This window comes from Homo sapiens, chromosome 3, assembly GCF_000001405.40.
Source record: "Homo sapiens chromosome 3, GRCh38.p14 Primary Assembly".
Taxonomy (NCBI): Eukaryota; Metazoa; Chordata; class Mammalia; order Primates; family Hominidae; genus Homo; species Homo sapiens.
Window position 1 is genome coordinate 122,925,278 of NC_000003.12, and position 24,956 is coordinate 122,950,233.

Sequence of the window (24,956 nt, forward strand, 5' to 3'; positions counted from 1 at the left end):
TCCAATCTTTTGGCTTCCCTGGACCACATTGGAAGAAGAGTAGTCTTGGGCCACACATAAAATACACTAAACACTAACGATAGCTGATGAGAAAAAAAAAAATATTGCCAGCTGGGCGTGGTGGCTCACACCTGTAATCCCAGCACTTTGGGAGGCCAAGGCAGGCAGATCACGAGGTCAGGAGATTGAGACCATCCTGGCTAACACAGTGAAACCCCATCTCTACTAAAAATACAAAAAATTAGCCAGGCATGGTGCCACGTGCCTGTAGTCCCAGCTACTCTGGAGGCTGAGAGTCAGGAGAATCGCTTGAACCCAGGAGGCAGAGGTTGCAGTGAGCCGAGATTGCCCCACTGCGCTCCAGCCTGGGCGACAGAGCAAGACTCCGTCTCAAACAAAAAGAAAAAAGAAAAAAAAAGAAAAAGAAAAAAAGTATCGTAAAGTTTTCAGAAAGTTTACACATTTGTGTTGGGCCTCATTCAAAGCTGTCCAGGGCCACATGCAGCCCAAAGGCTTTGGGCTGGACAAGCTTGGTCTATAGGAAAGTCACCTGTTTGGGTTAGCCTCTTACACAGAGGGAGGGGGTGGGAGGAGGGTCCCATGATCTGTGAGGGTTACTCGTCCTCACACCTAGGAAGCAAAAGGGGCTGCCATTCCCAGCCTGGTTTTCCAGCACAGTCTAGATGGGAGGTGATGGCAGGGTTACCAGAAGACTGCTGGTTAGATTGAGCAGAATCACATAGTCCTGAGGTTGGAAGGGACCTTAGTGAATTCCTGTTGAGCCTCCCTGTGGCTATTGCTGCCTGCTCCCCTCCCCTACATGGCTATATCCCCTCATCCAAGGCAGGCTTTTCCACCTTCATCACCAGCATGTTCCTCCTTCATGCAGCCTAAGGCAGATTTATTTGCTTTATTCATCTCTGGCCTAGGCTTGCCCTTCCCAGCAACCCAGAACACGAGCTTACCGCTCCAGAAGCAGTAAGTCACAAAATCCTCAGATGACCCCCGGCAGGAGGCACGGCAGTCCCCATTTTATAGATGAAGCCCACCAGGCCATGAGGCCAGGCCAGCTCCTGACATCACAGGCAAGGGGCTGGCAGAGGGCAGGACTCACACGTTGGTTGTGAAAACTCCATAGATGAGGTCCTGCTCCGGCAAGTGGAAGGCACTCTGCAGCTCGTTATAGTAGAAGGGGACCTCGCCCGGGCGGGAGCAGTTGAGCCGGGCCTTCATGAATGTGGTCCATGTGTCCTCCAGCAGGAATCGGCCCCCCACGTCATTCTTGCACACGCGGGCCACGCGAGAGTACACGGTGCGTCCACAGTCGTGCTCCACTGCGTTCTCCCGCAGGAAGAAGTATGCAAACAGCCCAATATCATAGGCTGCCACGAAGTTTGGCTCTGGGTGGGCAGAAGAGGAACAAGGGGCAGGGCAGGCCAGCGGGGAAGAAGATGGCAGAGTCGGGAGGACTCAACTACTTCGGTTTTCCCAGATGGGCATCCTGACATCCTTCTCTCTGCAATCTTGGTGACCTGGGGGCCCTAACTAACTCTCTTCCCACTTCCAATACCAAGGGCAGCTGTAATATTAAACATGTGTTACCGCCCACCTCTCACTGGGTGCCAGACACCATCCTAAGTACTTTATGTGGATTAATCCAGTCCTTCAACATATGAGGTAAATCCTATGATTATCCCCATATTACAGATACAACATTGTGGCACAGAGAGGTTAAGTACTTGCTCAAGGACACACAGCTATTTAGGTTGGTTCAAAAGTAATCGCAATTTTCACCATCACTTTTAATGGCAAAAACTGCAATTACTTTTGCGCCAACCTAATAGTTAGTGAGGAAGCAGGGGTTCAACCCCAAGGGCTAGGAAACTCATATGGCCCTTTCCATACCCTCCCTCTCTTTCTTTTTTAAGAGGCTGGCTCTTGCTCTTTCACCCAGGCTGGAGTTCAGGGATGCGATCATAGCTCACTGCAGTCTCAAACTCCTAGGCTCAGGGCATCCTATCACCTCAGTCTCCTGAGTAGGTAGGAATACAGGCATGCATCACCACGCCTGGCTGATTTATTTTTTATTTTTATTTTTAGAGACAGGGTCTTGCTATGTTGCCCACGCTGGTCTCCAACTCCTGGCCTCAAGAGATGTTCCTGCCTCAGCCTCCCAAAGTGTTGGGATTACAGGCATGAGCCACTATACCTGGCCCCGTAATTTTTTCTTATCCATAACTTGTTTTCCTAAACAATTCCTAATTATCTCCGTCTCTCCTAATAGCCCACCCTCCATCTGTTCTGTGGCCTCGGGACATCACCTGTGATTTCGTCTGGGGCCCATCTCTAGCATGCTCTGGTCTACTCTGCCCTACTCTGGACCTCTTCCTTGATGAGGCAAGTGGGAGCACTTGCAGAGGTTGGCAGGAAGGAGGATGAATGGGGGGCTCAGGGTGGGCTGGTGGGCTCAAAACCAGGGGAGTCCCCACCCCTGGCACTGGGGCCTCCTTACCATTAAGCCACTTGGAGTTATATTGGGCAGTGCGAAGCGGTGGCCCACTGCCCAGGCTGCGGTAGATGGCAGGGTCCCGACCTGAGAAGTCGATGACCGTGGCTGCATAGAGCTCCCCCTGGGAGGAGATGACAGCTGTGGAGTTGTGGCGTGGGTCATAGGGGCAGCGGGCCACACCATTGATCTTCTCAATAGTCCGGCTGAGGTTCCCCACCTGGGGACAATGGGGAGAAGGGGACACTTTTCCCTGAGGCCCTGGGGCTGCCTGTTCTTTCCATCTGAGTTTTGTTTCCTCCTGTGCCCCAGTCTCTCTGGGCCTCTCCCCTCCTCCAGCGTCATCTCACTGCTCAGCTCATGGTCCCTCTGAGGGAGCAGCCCTCAGTGAGGGAGAGGTCCTCCCAGTAGCTCCATCTGCCTCCAGCCCCAGTCAGGACCCTCCAAGGTAAGGCTGACCAACAAAATACAGAAGGCCCAGCTCAATTTGAATTTCAGACGAACAGGGAGTAAATTTTTAGTATAAGTTTGTCCCAGACACTTCATGGGACACATTTATGCTAAAATATCACTTATTGTTTATCTGAACTCCAAATCTAACTGGGTGTCCTTTTGTTTCTGTTTTGGGTGTCTGTTTGCAAAATTTGGTAACCCCCCTTCAAGGCTGTGTGCCTAGGCAGGAGAACCCCCGGCATGGTGCCCCCTTCAGTCTCCTCCACCCTGAGGTGCCCACCTGTCTGCTGGTGCACATGGGGGAAAAGGCATTGGTTCCACACATGAACACCTTCCGGCCGGCGACGATCAGGACTCGCACGTAGTTCTGACACTCCTCCTGAGGCAGGAAGGAAAGGAGCAGACAGCACAGCTCTCCAGGTGCGATGCTGGATATCTCACGCTCACACCACTGCGTCATGGATGCCAACAAGTATTCTAAACACTCCCCTTGACCCCAGATCCACCTGTCCCGACGTCCGGGTCACGTCTGTGGACGTCCCCTCCCACCAAGGTCATTTCTCCGCATCACTGCTCACTCAGATGCTCAGGACCAGCTCGCCACAGGGCTGTTATCCTCACCTGCCCAAGGAGCCCCAGCTCATCCTGGCCAGGCCTCTCTAGCAGGGGACCTCAGTCCACACAGTGCTGCTCCATCCCCACAACCACAGGCCTCCTTCCAGCTCCAGGTGGGGCCCCTGGACCGCCGAGACCACGTACCTCAGTCTTCCCTTTGCTTTGGCAGGAGCGGCGCGTGTCCTCACTGGAGGCCCACTCTGTGGCCTGGGGGAGGAACATAGGAGCACACAGACATCACATGGCTGTGTCATTTACTGCCACTCACTGGCAGAGCAGGCAGCAGCCAGTGTCGGGAGTGGACATGAAGCTGTGAAGGAGGGCTGGTCTGCAGGGTGAGGGCTCCTCTCACTACATCCACATGGACGTGGGAGGGCTCCCAATCTCCTTACCCAGAGGTCTTTCACAGGTGGGCACCCTCAGCCCAACACCCCACTGCCTGCTTGTGTCAGAGGAGGCCTGGAGGAACAGCTTCTGAATCTTTCATCATCCCCACGCAGATCTGCCCTCGGAGTCAGCCAGGGAGCTGGAAGTGGCCGAAGGACCTTCAATCCCACCCCAGGCCCTGGGTGGGGAATGCGCCTATTCTGTGCCAGATGGCCCTCAACTCAGCGGCAGGCAGGAAGGGAGAAAAGATTTGGCAAACCCTGAATGTAAGAGATTTAATTTTCTGTTGACAACTCTGGGCTTTTTCCTTAACAGATGGGGAAAACCAAGGTTCTGTGTGACCTAAGCAAGTCACACAGAACCTCGTGTAGAGCAGGGACTGGAACCCACATTTCTGATTCCAAAGGTTATGTGTGTTCCCACAGTCTTAAGGGCTAGGACTTCCCCTTTCCTAATTGCTCTCCTCCCTCCCACCCCCACTGTCTGCACTTTCCTCCCAGCTTCCCTGGTAGCATCACTCATGCTCTGCCGTGGGGTAATGTGTCTGGGGACACAGCTTTCATGTGGGGACCTGCAGGACAGTGCCATGTTCTCACATGCCCATGGCATTAGGAGAGGGCTGTCCCCAACCCAGGATCTCTTCTTCCCCTTCATCTATTCTGCCTCTACTCTCTCTGAACAGCAGCTGAAGGGAGGCGTGATGCCCTCCACGTCCAGGCAATGTCAACAGCCCTGGCGTGGCTCATTATATATTTCTGGGTCACGTGTATAAACATGAACTGCCTATCTGTCCTGGGAGAGGGAGCCCTGAGAAAGCAGCTCTGTCTTCCAAATGGGGAGGGGAAAAAAAAGAGCCCACCTGCTTTTAATTTCTAACAAGGCTGTTTCTAGCCATGAAGTCACTGCCTGCAGAGCCCCAGAGGCCGCAGTGTGGGAGGGGAGGCAGGGGGCCGGGAGAGCGAGCAGCAGACCTCTCTCTGCTTTCCAGCCCACAGCCAACCTGCCCTGGTGATGGCTGCTTTGTGAGGCAGAGGGAGGCTGACTCCTGCACACCCTGGATTCAGGAGATGAGTGACAAGTTTGGAGCCCAGGCTTCTGTGTCTCCCAGACCTTGGAGAAGAGCAAAGGACCCTGAATCTGGCCACAGAGCCACGGTGTTCATCTGGACAGAAACAACCGAGCACTGTCATACTCAGGACCCATCAACTCCCAGGCTGAGCCTGATATGAGAGAAGAGAGGGCCATAAATAAGAAATCTCAGGGCTTCTGGGGACAGAAAAGAGCAACGAGCCACAAACATTGCAGTTGTGCAGGCCAAAAGCCCCGGACGGTGGGCGGCTCTGCGAGGACCGCATGAGCAAAGGGTCCTCGAGTCTCTGAGCAGAGGAGCACACCAAAGGGGTCAGCCTTGATTCCATTGAAGAGGGGGCTGTACCATAAGAGGAGTTAAAGTTACGCTGAATTCAACAGTGGGACAGGCACTGTGCCAGGGACTTGACACACTTTTTCTCTTTGATCCTCACAGAAAACAGTGAAACACATAGCCTTTTGCTTGTTTTACAGGGAAGAACACTAAAGTCCAGAGAGGTGGAGCAAGTTGCCCAAGGTCACACAGCTAGTAAACGAGAAACCCAAGATGACTCCAGACAATTGACACCAGAACTAAGCTCTTTCTGCTACATCCTGCAGCCTCTCACAGTGAATAGATTTCTCTAACCAAAAGTTAGGCCATATGCCCCCAAAAAAGTATATAGGTTTATAGAGAGAACAGCACAGAATGGCTTTTTTGAGACCATTTATTTATTTTTAATTTATTTCAAAAATTATTTTTATCAAATTAGTGATGCACAGAGTTTAAAAAGTTAAATAGTATTAAAATGTATTAATTAAAACTCCGACGACCCACTCCTCCCATAGCCCACCCCTTTTCCCAAGGACAACCACCTTCACCTCTTTTAGTTGTTTCTCTGTTTTTTAAAATCGATTTCTAAAAAATATGTATCAATCTCAGTCTTCATCTTTTGAATTCCTGTTACAGAGGTGAAGATTTTTCCCACTTACCCACCACCGTTCTTCCCCGCACCAAAGCACACGTAACATTTCCCATCTCCCCATCCTCCCATTATAATGACAGTTTTAATTAAAATCAACATTGGTATTTACAGCCAGTACCCCAGATTTCACTGAATATATGGCACCATCAACTTGTAATATGAACCACTGAGAAACAAAATTGCTGCCAATCAAATGCTCTTATTAGTTAAAATTTTAACGTATACATATTGAAAGTGCTCTTATTCAGACATATGTTTTATCATATATCAATCTTGGCATACAAAAAAATACGCAAAATTGAGTATCCTTAAACCTTTGAATTCAGTGTTCATCTCTTCTGAATCACTTTTTAGAGTTGTCAGTGCTCATTTTTGCTGTTTGTCTGTTTAGAGAATCATTCTTTGAACTACCTAGGTGTCAGTGTTGCAATAATTCTTAAAGGACTCTGATCTCCACAATTTTCTTCCATGCCATTGACATCATCCTGCAAGTCTGGATGCTTATAGAATGAGCACGATACCAAAAGATGCCTACAGGTTTTCTGACACACCAGGACTCACATTCTTCCCTCATGTGATCCTAAAATGGTTTGTGGACTGAAACGTCGAGGGGTTGCTGTTGTCTGGTCAGAACACCAGAAAAAATGACTAAGTTCATACCTGCACAGGCATGACAACATCAAGACTGCACCTGGCTGAATGTGACTGTCAGATGTCTTTAACTGAAAGACACGTCCCAACTTCAGACTCATTAAAATGTGAAAACATGTGCATGTGAGTGAGAATCAATGAAATATTCGTATTCTGATAAGGTTTCCCTTTTTTGAACAATGTTTTGGTTTTCTTGGACTGAATAATTGTCTTGATTGTCTCCATTTGCTTGTTTTGCATGGAACTATCACCAATTTTCCCCAAATGTCCAACAGGTCTTACACATCCCTCTCAATATGATTTTTTTTTTTTTTTTTTTTTTTTTTTGGAGAGAAGGTCTTGCTCTGTCCCCCAGGCTGGAGTACAGTGACACAATCATGGCTCACTGCGGCCTCAACCTCCTGGGTGTTAGTCCAAACTGCACCATTTTAAGCTTCCCCACTATTTTGCAACCCTTGGTCAAAGTGAAACATTTCCCAGGCATTCGGGCTGTGAGAAACATCCTTCTTAATCACCTGACCACAAGGTAGACAAAGGCCCAACTAAAGAAATATCCCTATCATATCTCGCTGGGCAAAGGTCCAAGGAACACTATGATGACATCCCACGGGAATAAGGGCCAGAACTGCCTCATCATGGGAACATCTTATCAATATCCCGCTGGGCAGCAAGCCATACTGCCCAGACCCCTCCCACCCATACCTATAAGTACCCCTAGCCTGTAAGCAGTGGTGGGCTCTGGCATTAGGCTAGTTTCCCACTTGTATAGGTTTATGCTGGACATAGAGCCTGCATTTGCTGTTGAGCCACCCTCTTGCTGTGTGTGTGTCTTTCTTTAACCTTCACCTTCCCTTCAAAACCTAACACTGAGCTCAGGTGATCCTCTTGCCTCAGCCTTCCAAGTAGCTGGGAACACAAGTGCACACCACCACACTTGGCTAGTTTTTAAAATTATCTGTACACACAGGGTCTTGCTGTGTTGCCCAGACTTGTCTTATACTCTTGGTCTCAAGTCATCTGCTCCCCTCGGCCTCCCAAAGTGCTGGGATTCTAGGTGTAAGCCACCATGCCTGGGCTCAATATGATTTTCTTACTGCATGCACAAATGATTCAGATAATCTGTGAGTTCCCATCCTCTTCCTCATCCCCCAACCTCCATCTTCCTGCCTAGTGTTCTGGCTGCTCTCGAGGCCTCCTGCTTGACTGTTAGCCTGGGGCTTACCTTCTTTCCTCTCCTGCTTTCCGAATCGCATGTTTCCCTCTTTCTTGATTTATTCGCTTATTTTGGTGGAACACATCTCCAGTATCTTCCTAGGAAAAGGAACATGGTAGATCAATTTTTCAAATTCTTGCATGTCTGATTTATTCTCTCTTCATACTTGATTGGTAGTTTTGATACCAAATTCTAGGTTGAAAATAATTTTCACTTGGAATTTTAAAGGCATTTATTCCTCCATTGTCTTCTAGGTTCCAGCATTGCTATTGAGGACTCTGATGACATTTTCTTTTTCTTTTTTTCTTTAGGCTCTGGAAACTTTTAGGATCTTCTCCTTAATAACAGTGTCCTGAATTTCACACTGATGTGCCTTAGGACGGGTCTTTTTTGGGAACTCAGTCAACCTTTTAGCATTGAAGACTCATTCTCTGTTTTGGCAAATTTTCTTACGTTAGTTCATCCTTAATTTCTTCCTCATCTTTTCCTCTGTTCTCTTTTTGGAACTCTTAATATTCCAATCCACTGTTGGCCTTTGTGCATTGATCCTCTAGTTTTCTGATATTTCTCTCCTATGTTTCATTTCTTTTTTGTTGTTCTGGTAGGTTTTTCTTCAACATTATTTTCTAATCCTTCAATTCAATGTTTATTTTCCCAATCACATTTTAAATTTCCATATTTTAAGTTTATTGTTTTATAAACAAAATATTTTGTATCTCTCAGAAGATACTAATTGGTTGTTTATCATTAATTGAATTTTTTTTTCTTTGAGACAGACTTTTGCTCTGTTGCCCAGGCTGGAGTGCAGTGGCATGATCTCTGCTCACTGCAACCTTTGCCACCCAGGTTCAAGTGATTCTCCTGCCTCGGCCTCCCGAGTAGCTGGGATTACAGGTGCGCGCCACCACACCCGGCTAATTTTGTACTTTTAGTAGAGACAGAGTTTCACCATGCTGGCCAGGCTGGTCTCGAACTCCTGGTCTCAGGTGATCCACCCGCCTCGGCCTCCCAAAGTGCTGGGATTACAGGCGTGAGCCACCGTGCCCGGCCCAAAAATTTTGTTTTTATAGAAGTAGCCCAGCTAATTGATTGTAATACCTAAAGAATTAAAGGATCTAGAAAAAGATCATCACTGATTACTAACATCAAAAGAGAGAAAATCAGACACTGTGTACCTCCTAAAGAAAGGACACAAGAACACCTATGAAGTAATCTTGCCAGAATCTAAATTGAATGAAGTTTTTAGCTCTAACAATCAATGTACAGGTGATACAGGGAAGAGAGCAACATGTTCAGTCATGCCACCTGCATTACAATCAGCAAAATCCAGGCTGTGGGAAACTCTATAGGACAAGTGACGAGGTTTCTTCAATAAAAAATTGCACAATAAAAAATTGCACAGAGAGAAATATTGTTTTAAAGAGACATATCAACAAATTGCAGCATATTTGAATCCTGATTCAAATAACCAAAATTATTTTAAAATTTTATAAGACAAGTAGGGAAATGTAAACATTAACTGGACATTTAGTGATATGAAGTTATTAACTTTGGGCCACTTAAATAAAAAGAATCCCAGCCTGGTATGGTGGCTTATACCTGTAATCCGAGCACTTTGGGAGGCTGAGGCAGCAGGACAGCTTGAGGCCAAGAGTTGGAGGCTGCAGTGAGTAATGATTGTGCCACTAGCCTTAGTGACAGAGTCAGACCCACCTCAAAAAAAAAAAAAAAGAATCCCTATTTTTTAGAAATGTATACTGAAATATTTATGGATGTTATGATATGTCTGAGATTTGCTTCAGGACAGGGACGTGGGGGGATGTATGTAAATGAAAGATGATTGACCTTGAGCTGATAATTGTTAAAGTGCTATTGAGTACACGGGGTTCATGTACAATTCTCTTTGCTTTTGTGTGTGTATGAAATTACGTGATAAAAAAAAGCATCTTTGTTTGTTTGCTTTAAGAGTAAAGTACTAAGCAGCTCACTGGGAACTCCATGGGAGGTCTCATAGAGACTGGTGGGCTTCTTGTAGGGTGCTGGGTGAGGAGCCTTTTTCACTGGGAGGCCCTCTATGTCATATTCTAAAAGTCTGGTCTCTGTAGTCATTGAGTTTTTCCAGCAAAGACTCCCTTAGTCTCCTGCCTGGAAGTGGGGCTGGGGGAGCAGGGGGTGGGAGGAGGAAGTAGACTTTCGTCTGATCACACCCCATCAGTGCCCTTTAGGAGTCTCTGAATATGGAGACTTTCTAGTTGAATCTTTGGAGAAAGGGTCTTGATTCCTTTATTGGAGGGAGGGAGAAGATGGAAGAAAGGATTGCTGTTCAGGATGGGACAGGAGACCTGGGTCCCAACCCTTTAATTTAGAGAATGTCAATCAATCCTTCCTTTCATCCTTGTACCTCATCCTCACATCATACAATATGGGACACCCAATTCTGGGGCCCTTCTGAGGAGTCAGCTGCCTGTCCACTGCATCCCTTCTGCAAGCCGACCTGCTCTATCCACTTTTTTTTCTTTTTCTTTCTTTCTTTTTTTTTTTTTTTTTTTTTTTTGACAGATTCTCGCTTTGTTGCCCAGGCTGGGGTGCAGTGGCGTGATACCTGCTCACTGCAACCTCCGCCTCTTGGGTTCATGTGATTCCCGAGTAGCCTCAGCCTCCTGAGTAGCTGGGATTACAGGTACCCACCACCATGCCCAGCTAATTTTTGTATTTTTGTAGAGATGGGGTTTCACCACGTTGGCCAGGCTGGTCTTGAACTTCTGACCTCAGGTGATCCGCCTGCCTTGGGCTCCCAAAGTGCTGGGAATACAGGAGTGAGCCACTGTGCCCAGCCTCTATCCGCTTTCCATTGCCCCAGAATGCATAATCTCTTCTTCACTGACATCTTTTTCATTCTCTCTGTTGTTGTGAATGTGCACCCTTTAAAATTTCTCACTCTTTTTAGTGGAGTTTTGTGAAGGGGTGGAGAGAGACGTGTCTGATCAATCTGGAACACAGAGTGCTTTAAACAAGGGCTGTCCCAGAAATTCCAGGATGATCTCTAGTAACAGTAGCTGTGTGGTTTTCACGCTGTGAGAGGAAGCAGGCGACACCCAGGGACGTGGATCATCTCCATGAAAACTCAGCAACTCCCACGGACACTTGGGGGCCAGGGACAATGGCTGAATGTCAACGCATCTTTGGAGCATTAAGTCCACTGCTCTGTGGAGTTTCAACTTCAAACCACTCCAGGGCTGCCAGATTTGAGCTTGGAGGACGTGGAGATAAACTGGAAGAGAGCTCAGGCATTGCCCTCCATGTCTGCCCAGGCCCGAACAAAGCCCCATTATGCGTCCTGATGCATATGTGCAGAACAGTCCTCGTTTCTGCCTCGCAGGATATCTGGCAAACCAAGATCATAAATCTGTTGCAATTAGGCCTCCAGCCAGGTCGTCCCATGGAACTGTTCTGGCAAAGGTCGCTCACGAGCTCCTAATTGCCAACTCCAAGACAGCTCATCATGCTGGTCCTCTCAGCAGCCCGGGGATGCTGTCAATCACTAGCCTCCTTTTCTTTCCCAGTACCAGTTTATTAAGTTACACTGATAAATAACCACACAGGTGAGCTGATTTGATTTCCCCCACTCCTCCACCTCCAACACACACACTGCCCCATCTGCTCCTAGCTGCACCTCTTCCCTACTTCAGAGCTTGGAGGATTGGGAAGGAGCTGGGCATTCGATTTTCTTTAAGGAAGAGTGGTTTACATAAATTGTTTAATAGGGGTTAGGTACTTGGAAGTCCCTTAATGGATACTCGTTTGCAAAAACTGTTTACATTTAGATTTTTCTTTACGTAATGTTAATTATTTAAACTATCAATAAAGCATTGAGTTTTAAGTTTGCTTAAATCATGCCCTGGGGCCAAGTGGGAGAATCAGTTGGCTCCATAATGGGGAGTTTTAACCCAAGTGTAGCCCCAGGCCACAGGGAGAGTAGAGGAAGCTGGGCGGGGGCACCCTGGCCCAGCCGCCCTTGTCAGCAAAGTGGTACAGATCATTTTCAGCACTTGGTTACTGGTGACAGCAGACACTGAGAACTGAAAGCTTATAACCAGGGACCCAAAGCTCCCGGAGAGGGCACTGGCAGGGCAACCCCTGAAGTTAGGCTTTGAGAGTTACAAGTCAGGGCTTCCTCACCAGGCCAGACAACAGACAGGAGGACCGGGCACTGAAGACCAGAGGCCAAGGTCTGCTCCAGGGGACACTGGATGGCACACCCCAACCTCTTGCTTGTTCTCTCCCCTCTGTGGACAGATGGTACACACCAGAGTGGGAACGTGGACATAAAATGTATTTATTCCCTTAGTTCTGTCACAGTGAATCCAGTCTGAAATCCTGAGGTCAGGCCCCTAAGAGACATGCTGGGAAAGGTGGTCAACCAGTTCCTGGTGCTTTGGGGGCTTGTCTGTAGGGCCCTTCAGGGAATGCCGTTGGAGCTGAGACCCTGCTCCAAGCCTGAGCTATGGGCTGCCATAAGCTACCTGCCCCAGGCTGACACCAGGTCAACACTGACCTGGATGAACCAAACCCCAGAACTCAGTCATCAAGCGCAGTCTTAACAGCATTGCTTTTATTTCTGTGTATCTATTTCTCTTCCTCCCTTCAGCCACATTACACTCCTAGAAGGCCTTCATCTGCACACCACAGGAACCAAATAAAAACCCAGCTGCCTGGAGCTCAGGGTGGGACCCCTGGGTCCACTTCCTCCCGCCCACTTTGAACCTCCTCTGCACTGGCTTCCCCCAGGCCCTGACCTGCTGGGTTTGGCAACTTGGCTTACTTTCCGGCCAATGGAAACTAGGCTCTGGACTGGCTGCCTGTGACTGAGCTCACAGGCCACAAGATGCTGCTTCTGGGGAACTTCCCCTGCCTTGCTCCAGCCCAGATCCCAGGAATATGCTGCACAGCCCCTCAAGGGAATCGTATGTGATCCCTTATGTGCATATTCCTTGCGGCAAGGTACTGGGCCTGATTCACTTTAGAACTCAAATGCCTTGTACCATGCCTAGGATGAGACCTGGCCTTTAGTGGTTATTCAACAAATGTTTATTGGATGGGTGGATGGATGGATGGATGGATGGATGGGCAGGCTGGCTAGTAAAGGTATGGATAGAAGGACAGATGGACAGACAAATGGATGAATGGCATTTTCTTTCAACTTGCCCTAGTTCCTCCCAACCCTTCCCTTCCAATGGGCACAGATTTTCTGCTTCCTTATACCTCCCCTCTAGCAACCAGCCAAGAACTGCAATGTCCCTGGGTGTGTGGACCCAGGTGTGGCCAGAATGTCATACCAGCTCCCCAAGAAGGTCTCCCTTGTGGCAGTGAAACTCTATACCAAACAGCCCAGCAAATGATTAAGTTCTAACTTCTGATTAGGTTAGTCACTCATCATGTTTTCCTGAAGGCCAGAGACTCTGCATTTCTTATAGTCTCGTGGCCCCCTAGCCATGAGTTCTGGTACACAGTAAGTGCTCAATGAATGCTTAATCATTGGGAGACTAGAACATGTCTCCTAGACATGAGAATTGAGGCTCTCCCCTCATTGAAGAAGAGATGGCCTTCCTTTCTCTACAATATTCAGCCTCTGCAAAGATGGTTTGACATCTGTTTCTCAATCTGGGATAAATGTTCTGGACCAAGGAGTCCCATTAAAACGCCTCTCAGAGCACTTAGGGAATTATGCTTGGGAAGTCCTTCTTGGCAGCAGATAATAAATCAATCACAGCTCAAAGAAAATGCTGAGTTAGAATGGGATCATTCAGACTGGGCTAGGAAAGGAACTAGGAACACCCTTTCCGTGGAGGCCTGAACTCAGAGACCCTCCTGTGGAGCCAGGTCTGGGGACTTACAATAACCAACCAACCCAGTTTGCCCAGTATTGTCCCAGTTTTTGCACTGGAAGTTCTGCATTCTCAGTCCCAAACAGGGACAGTTGGTCACCCCAGCCTGGCATTCTTTTTCTCCCTTCCTCATTAGCAGCCTCGCTGCATGATGCAAGAGCCTTGTGTGCCTCTGCGTATATGTGAGCCACACCCTCCCTCCACGTACATTGCGGGCAGTGACTCTGATAGCTGGGGTCTGAGTCCATGGCCAGTGAAAAGAACAAGTGGCTCCTGTTTTCAACTTTAGGGGCTGAATTCTGAATGGCGCCACTTGCGTTGCCCTGCCTTGGGCTCTGGAATAGGGGAAATTATAGGAAGGGAAGGGAAGAAAGCAATCGTACCTGAAGAAGAGAGACATTGGCAAGGCTGAGTCTGAAGAGGTAGTTCCTGTGAAAATGGAAACAGACATCCTAAGTGACGCTGGTTCTGCAGGCAGGACCCAGGGAGCAGCCTCCTGGCTTGGGCCTCCTGGGACGCCAGGACTGGGTGCTGATTGCCTAGGGTCAACCCCTAAGGAGAGCTTTACCTCCATTTGCTCACTTAATCTTCACACAACCCTGGGAGGAAATCCAGGAAGCTCCAAGTTACAGATGAAGAAGCAAGGTGGGTAAATGGCCCAAGTCACCAAGATAGTAAGTGAAGGAGTTAGGATTGAAACCCAGACTTTCCTCCAAGTTCCATGCTGTCTCTGCTCCCAGCCAACTCAGCTAGCCCTGGGAGGAACCCCTTGACCCCACCTTTTCCAACCATGGAGGCTGTTAAATGTAAAGCCTCACAGCACTCTTACAGAGATGCAGACAGCCAGCTTCCTCCTACTCTGGCCCTCCACCCTGACTCACCCCTTCTCACACAGGCCAGCCATCTCTCCTGGCTCCACATCCCGGGGTCCTGAGTCCGATTTGTTTGTTCATCTCCTGCAGTCTCTCCAGCAGTCAGTGACTCCAGGTCTGACCTTTCTGTGGCCACCTTTCTGGACCACCCTCTCTCCTCTAACCCAAACGACCCCATCCACCACCTCACCATCCCTCTCCCCACAGTCCAGCCTGCACAGGGCTTCCAGACTTATCAACCTCAAACAGTTTTCACCTTCAGTAACAAAGAGGATACTACTAGTAGTAATAATGATATCAGACACTTATTGAGTATCATAAGTGTCAGCTGCTGCTGAAATTTGTTTGCATGGATGCTGGAGTCAGAAGGCCACCATGCACAGACAGGGAGAATTCCAGCTCAGCCACCTGCCACCTTCTGAGAGTCTCAGTGCCTGCATCTGTACAATGGGGAAGTGAATGGCTATCTTTCTTATTTCACAGGACTGTGGAGACAGAGGAATGGTGTGATGCACATTTAAAGGCTCTGTTCATGCTGAACAGATGCAAAGTCTTGATTTCCCCCACCAATTTTCTTTCTTTGGTTCTTCTGTCTTCTTTGGGCTATTCCTATTTTGGTTCCTAAACTTTTTAGGAACAAAGATTTTAGAAAGTTCTGGCCTACCTCAGCTGAGGAGGGAAATGAGGGGAAAGGCTGTGGAGTGGGACCGGAAGAGAAAGAGGGCCCCTGCTGAAGGAATCCAGAGCCGGAAGGAGATGCCGCAGGCCAGGAGGCTTCTCTTCCCAGCTCTGGCTCCAGGCCCAGGCCCCACTCATCTTCTTTGCTGTCCTGGGGCTGGGCGGGCCTCCCAGGTGACCTTGGCTCCAGGCCTCTGCTGTCCTTCTCCAACCCCCTCCCCAAGTCCTTAGCAGAGCTCTCCCTATCCCACCCTCCTGGCCTGGGAACAGATAAGCTCCAGCTTATGGCTGTGCCCCAGCTGCCTGCTTAGGTAACACAGGCATCTGCTCACAGCTTTAACAAATTAGGGGAAACATTGCATCACTTTATTCATTTTTATCCCATCAAAAATCATTCATCACAACATCGCAGTCAACTCTCCTGGGAGCTGGAATATGAGAACAGAGAGAAATCTCTGTAGCCTGACCCACCCTAAATCCCTTTCGGAACAAGGGAGGGTTATAAATGAATAAAAAATTTCCCTAGCCTGAATTCCAGAGATCCAGGGGTCAAGAAGAAGGGAAGACAATGTCAGGCAGAAGAAAAGGAGGAAGGAAAATGAGCTGGAGACAGGAAAAGAAAGTGGCCAAAGACCCACTACATTGGCTCTAAGAAGCCTAAGGGACCAGGTCTAGAATTGAGTTTCCCTGTCCATCTGAGGGCATAGCCAGGCTCAAGGATGCAGGAAAAAGTGTCCCTCCATCTTTGTGTGGGAAGCCTCCAGACAGAAAACATAACCACCTTCTGGGGAAGCCGCAGAGCGGATGAGGAAGAACAGTGTGACCACAGTCACAGGGTAACATAACCTCTCTGAGCTTCAGTTTCCTGGTCCATAAAATGGGGGTACATAGAACCCACTTCCTGGGTTCACCCACTTGTGAAGATTCAATGATTTACTGCAGGCATGATTTACTACATGTATTAGATTAAATACATGTGTGATTTACTACCTTTACTACATGCAGTAACTGACTTACTACATATATGACATATAAAATAGTGCCTGGCACATGGCCGGTGCGGAATAAATGGCAGCTTTTGAAATGCTTTCACAAGGTTCAGAGTAGAGTCTTCGGATGCTACCATTTGGGTTTGTTGAAGTACACATGTAAAACTAGTGAAATCAGAATTAGGTTGAAGGATCACATCAAGGCCAGTTTCCTGATTTTAATGTTGTCCTACAGTTATGCAAGATGTTAGCCTTGGGGGAAACTGGGTGAAGGGTATATGGGATCTCTATTATTTCTTACAACTGTGTGTAAATCGACAGTCATCTCAAAATAGAGAGTAAAACAATTACTCTCTTTGCTGGGAAAATAAAGTCCATCCTCCTGTATAGTTGCATATGGACAGACTCCCTCTGGGGGCACAGTCAGGAACCTCACCACTAGGTGAACCTTCAGTCAGGGGTCCTGCTTGTTTGAGGGGGTGGCCCTGCTTTTCACCATATACTCCTTTGTACCTTTTGAATGTCCTACCATAAGACAAAATAGTTAATTTAAAAATTAAAAAATTAAAAGAAAAATGCTTTCAGGCCCAGCTTCACAGCAGCCCTGTGAGACTGGTGGCACAGAGACTGTAACCCAGACTTTACAGATGAGGAAACTGAGGCTCCAAGGTCAAGATCCCCCAGGACAGGAACCCAGCTCATCCACACCTAATCCAGAGCTGTGTTCTTGACTTGCCTCATTTTCATACAGCAAATGAAGGGGTGGAGACACTAAAGAAAGCTCCAGGGCAAGGATGGTCAGCTACAGCATGGCCCGGAAGTGCCCAACCCAGTGGCCATCCTCTCCCCAACCCCACACCCACTGAGTCAGAACCTCTGGGCTGCAGAGCTGAAAAGTAGTGCAGTCCCAGGCGATAACACAGACAGACCTGCAGAGAAACTCTAGGCCTGGGTTAAGGAGACCTGGCTGTAGTCCCCACACCCTGTTGTCATCATGCTATGTGATGCTGGGAAGGTCACCTTCCCCTCTCAGTGCCTCTGCTACCGCCTGTTTAAAATAAGGACGGTTGGATGACACCAGAGATTCTCAAACTTGAGTGTGGTCAGGCCACCTGGAAGGGTTGCTAAAACACAGGTTGCCTCTTCCCAGAGTTTCTGACTCAAGAGGTCTGAGAAGGACCCAAGAATCTGCATTTCCAACACATTCTCGGGTGCTGCTGGGCCAGAGACTGCACCATGAGAGCTACTGGGGTCGGCCCTCTCTAAGCCCCCTCCCTACCAGAGCCAATGTTCTGTGGTTTCATGAGGAATGAGCTCCTCCTAGTCCACCCAGAAAGTCTCCACAGGTTCCCCCAGAGAGTACTGTCTGTTGATATTGGATCTGAACAGTGGACTAAGAGGTCAGGCCAAAGGTAGGTGAGGTCCTTCGGGAAAGGTTCTACCCCTACCCAGCCGTCCCAGGTGCAGGCCGCCGGCTGGCCGGCAGGGGGCCCCTGGGCACCTTCTCTGCATGGAACTCCCGGGGAATTGGCCCAGAAAACCATTCTGACAGCCGGGCAGGGACCAGGCAGGGACCGGGCAGGAGGTGGCCAGCAGGCGTCCCTGCTCTCACTAACTGCCAACCACAGGGGCCTGCAGCTGGCTGAGATTGCGAGGTCAAGAGTCACCCCCACCCCCACCCAGCCGAAACACGCTTCCTCCTGTGGGGGGACAGACATCCACAAGGAGAGGGCCCAGCAGAGAGGATGGGGCCCAGCACGCGGGGCTGCCCAGGTGAGTTCATCCTGAATAATATTCCCTCTACCCAGCTCCAAGCCCCTGCACTTCCCACCCCGACCCTTCTGCCCCTTGTTACCTGGCTCCCACGATGAGCTGGTTCCCGGAGGGGTCCAAAGCCAGCTGGGAGAAATCCCGGGCTCCAGGGTAGGTGAAGTTAGAGACCCACGGCTGCAGGTCTGGTGGAGGGAGAGGCAACCCTGTGGTTACTGTTGGGCCAGAGGCTCCCAGCTGCATCGCAGCAGACCACAGAACAGAAGGGTGAAAGTCAGGGGGAAGTGGGGCGGTGGCACCCGGGAGACCTGGTGCCACCTGCCCACCTCTGTGTGCCCCTAGGGACTTGGGAGTGGGTGTTGTAGTCATTCTTCTGCCACACTCCTTAGCTCAGAGGAGGGCACTACCCTCCCCACAGAGGCATGAAGGGATACTTATACTCGCCCTTGACTTCCCCCAGACCTTCACTAGCCACATAAGTACACACTGGTAAATCCTGCCTGTTCTACCTCTACACTGCCTCTGAAATCCATCCACTTTTTTCCCACTGTATCCCACCTACATCCAAGCCACCACCAGCTCTTGTCTGGAGCAGTGCCAACAGCCTCCTAACCAGCCTGGCTTCCAGGCCTGCCCCTCGAGTCCTTTTCCCACAAAGCAACCTGAACGCTTGTTCTCAAATGCAAATGTGGTCATGTCACTCTCCAGCCCAGAACCCATCCATAGCTCCCAACTACCCCCAGGAAAAGTCCAACTCCTGCGAAGGCCCTTGGGTTCTGGTCCACTGTCCTCCCAAGTCCAGTGCCTGGCACAGTGATTATTTACTGATCCCCTGAAAGAATGATGCTTCACCTTTTACATTCCCTAAACTCTCCACCCCAGCCACACTAAAACACTTCACACTTCCCCAAATCCATCCCACAAGAGCCTGCAAACCTTTGTGCTTCTGTTCTCCCTTGATGGAACAATTCCTGTTCACCCCCATCCCTACCTCCTCCAAGAAGCCTTCTCTGACTGCTTCAAGCCAGGCTAAAGGGCTCCCATAGTCTTCTACTTTACTGCCACACTGTGTGTCTAGCCTGGTAGTTTGCCCTGGGGGCCAAGAAAGACTTTGCTTCCTAGATCTCCAGGCTCAGTCCAGCACCTAGCAGTGTTTGAACGAATATATGAATAATCCTCAATTCCTTCTTGTATGAGGGGAATTGGATTTTCAGACAAGATTCTGCAGAGGTGGGAGGTGCAGAGATTGGGCGGTCAGTGTCCACCCTGCCTCCAAGGAAGGTTGTTCCCAATCAAGGCCTTTCAAAGGGACTGGGTGGGCAGAGAGGAGACCTCACGGCCTCTGGGCGGATGGGGAGTGGTCTGGGAGGGCCTGCTTAGAAAGTGCCAGCTGACTCGCCCGGTTTCCCTCCTGCTGGAGACACACTTCTCCCTTCTTGATTCACAGCCTCCTGATAGCTCTCCCTCAGCCTATGCATGACCCATGGATGGGTGGGAATTGGCAGCAGTAAGGAGAGAGCCATGGAGCAGAGGAACTTTCATGCCGCTGTTGGTAAAGATTCAGGGTAATGGGAGGCACTGTGCTTTCTCCCCACAGTGCCTTAGCAACTGACTCACAGAAGGGCCAGGAGAGAGAGAGAGATAGAGAGAGAGGCAGAGAGAGAGAGAGAGTCTGTGTGTGTGTAATCCAAAGGAAATAAATCATTGCTCATTATCCCTCCACTACAGAGTAAAAGCAGCCCTTCATTTCTGCACGACAGGCAAACATTTAATCGCTCCCTGGAGAACTGGAGGTTTTGTGAGTTGGATGTTTTTCAGAAAACTGTGATAGGCATGATTAAAAAAAGAAGAAGAAAGAAATTCTGCAGCAAAATGAAGCAAACCCCTTGGGCCTGCCTTTGCCCCCAGCAGGTGATTATAGGTTGGTGACTATAGGTTGGCAAGAATTGTCATGTAGTCACGATGGCTTTTGGGCAATATAGGATAAGAAGTGGATCTGGAGTCTGGTGGGTTAGGTTTTTAGCTGACCTCTCAGAAATCCTGGATAAATATTACATTACCTTAGAAATGAAACCAAGGATCCTCCTCCTCCAGGAAGCGTTCCTGGATTACAACCTCTCCACCCTGATCTTATTTTGCTCCACATTCTCTCTATTTTTCCATTCCATTCACATTGTATGTTATGGTGTATTTGACCACTCTGAATGTGGTCAAATATTTTCTGTGTGTGTAGGGCAGGGTCTTCCCTGTCCCTATGAGACTGGGTGCTCCCTAACAGCAGCAAGCACCTTAATTTCCTCCTTCCCTTTCAACAAGGGCATTCCAGATGTAGGCAGCTAAATGAGGGAGGAGGTGGCATGACGGGTCTGCAGTAGATACTCCATCTGGGGACTTCCCAGCTCAGTCTTCACTTAGGCCCTTTCTTGGGGAGGAGGGGAAAAGAAGAGGAAACAGGGTACAAGATGGGATAAAAATGGGGAGGTGGGGGTGGGGGCATGGAGGGTGGTGGCCTCTTCCAGTTTCCGTCCCTCTCCCAGTAGCCCTCACCCACATGGGCAAGGGGGATGGGGGAAGTGGGGAGAGAAGGAGCCGGGCATAGCACGGGGATCCTAGGGGGGCCTTGGGAAGGGAACCAGCCTGCTCGTATTAAACAGGCCAAGGGGACCAGAGGGAAGGCTGTCTTTAAAACACCAAGCACGTTCCGAGCTCTGTGTGCGGCAAAGGCTTTGGACGGTGACTTTAAGAGAAAAAGACATTCTCCATGACACGCCTGTGATTTTAATTATAGTCAATTCAATTACCCACCTTGTGGATTAACCACCGTCATTTGTTAAGTCCAGGCTGGCTTCTCCTGCTGCCTGGAAAGGTAACACTGGCAAATGAGAGAATATGCAGGCTGAAGAGAAACACAGCTTGGCCCCCCTTAAGAGAAACCCACAGGGGAAAATTTAGCCTTACAAAACAGAAAAACAGCAGTCAGATTCTGTGACTGGCAGCTCCTCTAGGGTATTTAGGGGTTATTCACAGCTCAGTCAGGTGTCAGGGGAGAGGGAAACTCACAGTTACAAGGCTGGCAGCCTACAGATTGGTCAGAAAGGAAGTGTAACATCCTAGGGGGCTTGGAGGCTGGGGTTGGTGCTGTCCTTGATTAGGGCAACTTCTCCTGAACACAGCATCCCCAGAGCACAGTCCTTTGCCCAGCATGAATTGAGTCCCTACTGTGTGCTCAGCTGTGCTAAGGGATGTGGGAACACAAGAGAACCAGTCCTGGTCCAGGACCAGAACCAGTACCAGCTGGGCTGAGGGACCAAAGGCAGTGACTTTTAACCAACAATACGAGATCATTAGGTACGCAGAGGAAACTCTTGTTCACCTCTGAGGCCCCACAGCATCCCCTTCTGTGCCTGGCACAAAGCAGGGCCCAATAAAAATTCAGCAAACGGATAGGAAAACTCAAAGCTGTCAGAATGGGGAAGGGGAGAGGGGCATTCCTTCATTCTGTAGGAGGATGGGGCGAGAAGTCAGATTCATTCAATGCATACCTGAGGGTCAAAAATGGTCTCAAGGAACCCAGGCACACACAGAAGACATCTCCCACCTCTCTGACTTCCTCCCCCAACCCAATTTGCACAGATGGAGACCTGATTGGTCGGGAGACAGGGATTCCCCAGCTCTCCTTCCATGTCCCTGCCCCCAGACTCAGCCAAGCCAATATTGCCCCCAACAAAGCCCCTGGGAGGAAATGTTTCATTAGGAGCTGCCACAGAGGCCCCAGTGTGAGGAGGCTAGCCCTAAGAATCCACTCCTTCTGTCCCCCTCTGTCCTCTTCAGTGACAGCCACCAGCACTCCAGGAGCCATCAGAAGTCTGAGGGTGTGCACGAGTTTTGCAGGCTTAGGACATTGTTAATTTACTTTAATCCACTTAAGCCTTCAAAGCCTTGGATCCCAGCTCAAACAAGACAGCGCCGAGAAGACAGCTGGAAACCTTCCTCCCTGAGAGGAGCCAACCCACAGCTGGGAATCCCACCCTTCCACAACACCCCCAGACTCTCATTCATACTGCCTCTCCCACCTCTCAAATCCTAGGCCTCATTGGTTGATTTTTCCAGCTGGGTTCCATCTTACCCCACCCACTCCTGCAGGATGGGGCTCCGCATGTCCTCCTGTATGGGCCACCAGAGCATAGAGCAACGGATCGCTCTGCAGTGGGCAGTGGACAGAGCACTGCACGTGGAATCAGGAGCCCAGAACTGAGGACTGGCTCTGACAAGCCTCTCTGGCCCACCATGCCTAGGCCTTCCCATCTGTAAAAGGCAGTGACGATCTCCTGGCACTGCCTCCCCAACAGGGTTACTATGAGGAGGAAACCTGCCAGTGTCCCTCAAACTTAAGAACCTAGGAACCCCTGAGACTACATCTGCAGATCCCAGTGTGAGCTGCCAAGTAGGTGGTGGTTCAAGAAGTACTAATGTGACTGTAACACAACCATGACCCCCCCCAAACTGTGTAACAGATCGTGAGAGAATGTCTGGTATTTGTGTTTTGTTTTGTTTTTTTTTAGCAAGTATTAGAATGTATATACTAATTTTAGAAACTCTTATCAAGAATTTACAGACCCCTTGGAATATGTCCAGTGATTTACAGATCCCAGTTTGGGAAACACTTTCATAGGACTTTCTCATACCCTCCCTTGACAAATAGAAGGAGTTATGAGTCACCAGGGCCCTTGCACCGGGGTTTCCCAAGACCCTAAAGAGAGGGATCCCTGCAGCCCCTTAGAGCAGAAGGAAGCTTTCCAGAGATCTCCAGGCACCTCCTAATGCATGAGTCATGCTGAGACCCCTGGCCACCCCCAGCCAGGGCATCCACAACTTCCTTTTCTAGCAAAAGACTCCCCTTACCCCAGGTTGGCATGCATGAAGGGCCTGAATAAATTACGGAGAGACAAAAATTAGACCCCTCCAGCCCATTGCTGCCCATCCTTCTTAAAACATCCAGCACCAGAGGAAGAGTCTCAGGACCCCGGGACGGGACCCAGCAGTTAATGAACATCCCAAGGACATCCAACAGCCAGAAACATCCTGCCAAGGTCTGACCTAAGTCCTTCAGGACACGGCCATTGCAAGACAGGGCCAAGTAGGAAGCAACTCTTACCTTCAAAGGCCACGGTGGGGTGCTTGCTAAGGGCGCACAGCTGCTGCTCACTGCTGGGCTCACTGGAGACATCCTGGGAGCTGGAGAGGTGGGACACCAGCAGTGTGAGGCTGGGCAGCAACAGCGAGACAGCCAGGGGGCCTGCAAGCACCATGATAGGCCCCTCTGCAGTCCTAGCTCCGGGAGGCAGACAGGGGAGAAGACCTGCAACGTAAACACTCAGTCTCACCAAGCGCTCCCTCCAACTGGGCCCACTTCCCTCAATTTCCTTGTGGTTACAGTGCCCCCACAGGATTTGAAAAATAAATTTCTATTGTATTTATGTTACTCAGAGTTTGCTCTGCTCTAGTAAATGCGAAGATATAGATCACTCCCTGAAAGCTAATTTCCCTTGTAATAGCATTCTGTACAAAACTGACAAATTATAGTGCCTTTTCTATTTATGATCCCAAATGGTTTAAAATTAGTTTTAATGATAAAGGTAGTATCTTAGGGATTTTAATAAATGGAGCTGAGGCCATGGGTAGCTATTTGTAAAATGATAAATCTGGATCCATAACTCATACTTTATATACTAGGAAAAAATTCAAATAGACAAAAGATTTCAATGTTAAGGATAACAATCATAAAAATACTAGAAGAAAATTCAGGCAGGATCCTTTATATCTTGGCATGGGAAACCATGGCTCAAAATCCAGAAGCCATCAAAGAAAAGATAGATAAATTTGACTACATTAAAAAACAAACACCTGCACTTCCCCCTCCTCTCCCCAAAAACAACATCAATCAAAATCATAAGGAAAATGACAAACTAGAAAAAATATTTGCAATTCATATCACAGACAAGAGACTAATATTCCTAATATATAAAGAACTGAAACTGCCTTTGCAAAAAGTATGACAGTGCAGGAAATCTGACCTAACAGACTCCATCTTGCTTCCAGCCTGCAAGTTGCCCTTGCTCATTCCTAGGCCTAGGCCAAGCTAACTGTGGAAGGAATTTAGTTTACAGTTTAACTTTGAAGCAGAGAAGATTACAGCCCCTTCCCAAAGCAAACCACCTCCTTGCTTGGAGATCAGATCTCCTTTATAATACTAACAAATTAGCCACATTATAAGACAGTATGGCTCAGGAGTCATTCAGCCAGATGTCACAAGATTCCTAATTGCTCCTATAGATAACATTATTGTAAAACCTCAGATTGGTGTTCTAGGTATTTTTCAGACCCTGCATTCTGTTGGATCTGCTGATGCCACCCAGACTGATAAACTGGTTCATCTGACCTTGTGGCCCCCCGACCCAGGAACTGAACTCAGCACAAGAAGACAGGCTTCAACTCCCTGTGATTTCATCCACGACCTAACCAATCAGTACTCTCCACTCCCTAGCCCCACTGCTCCCCAAATTATCCTTTAAATTTTGGGGGAGGCTGCTTTGAATAATGATAAACTCCTGTCCTTCTGCTTAGCTGGCTTTGCATCTATTAAGTTCTTTCTCTATTGCAAAAACCCGCTGTTCTCAATACATTGGCTTTTCTGGACAGTGAGCAAGATGAATTCATCGGGTGATTATAGAACTTCTAGGAATCAAGAAGGAAAAGACTAACAATCCAGTAGAAAAATAGGCAAAGAATATACATACAAACAAGGGCTTAAAATATGAATGACACTTATCCTCACTCATAACAAGAGCAACACAAGTTAAAACATAGACTGAGATACCACTTC

The 24,956-nt window shown here is 48.8% G+C and overlaps 1 protein-coding gene across 17 annotated transcripts in view, besides 1 other annotated feature; it reads right to left on the reverse strand.

The window, feature by feature from the left end:
- Positions 1 to 24,956, reverse strand: part of SEMA5B (semaphorin 5B) — a 119,524-nt gene that overhangs the window by 16,196 nt on the left and 78,372 nt on the right. For 13 of the 17 annotated variants that reach the window (NR_046079.2, NM_001256348.2, XM_047448354.1 and 10 more), the window contains 7 exons: positions 23,229 to 23,432; positions 18,159 to 18,258; positions 14,148 to 14,193; positions 3,719 to 3,781; positions 3,240 to 3,338; positions 2,513 to 2,726; positions 1,115 to 1,400 (listed from right to left, as the gene is read on the reverse strand). Coding sequence is in view for 16 of the 17 variants with exons in the window: in NM_001031702.4 (NP_001026872.2) it covers positions 1,115 to 1,400; positions 2,513 to 2,726; positions 3,240 to 3,338; positions 3,719 to 3,781; positions 14,148 to 14,193; positions 18,159 to 18,258; positions 23,229 to 23,432 (1,012 nt within the window). In the remaining variant the exon portion in view is untranslated. Of the gene's footprint in view, positions 1 to 1,114; positions 1,401 to 2,512; positions 2,727 to 3,239; positions 3,411 to 3,718; positions 3,782 to 14,147; positions 14,194 to 18,158; positions 18,259 to 23,228; positions 23,433 to 24,956 lie in introns of all 17 variants that reach the window. The other 4 variants (NM_001410801.1, XM_047448346.1, NM_001437565.1 and 1 more) reach the window with 1 other exon arrangement.
- Positions 1,243 to 1,743: an enhancer, noted in NCBI's record as "H3K4me1 hESC enhancer chr3:122645367-122645867 (GRCh37/hg19 assembly coordinates)". NCBI's record gives its function as "activates a minimal SCP1, AML or CMV promoter by ChIP-STARR-seq in primed H9 embryonic stem cells {active_cell/tissue: H9 hESC(primed)}" and the evidence as "EXISTENCE:reporter gene assay evidence [ECO:0000049][PMID:30033119]".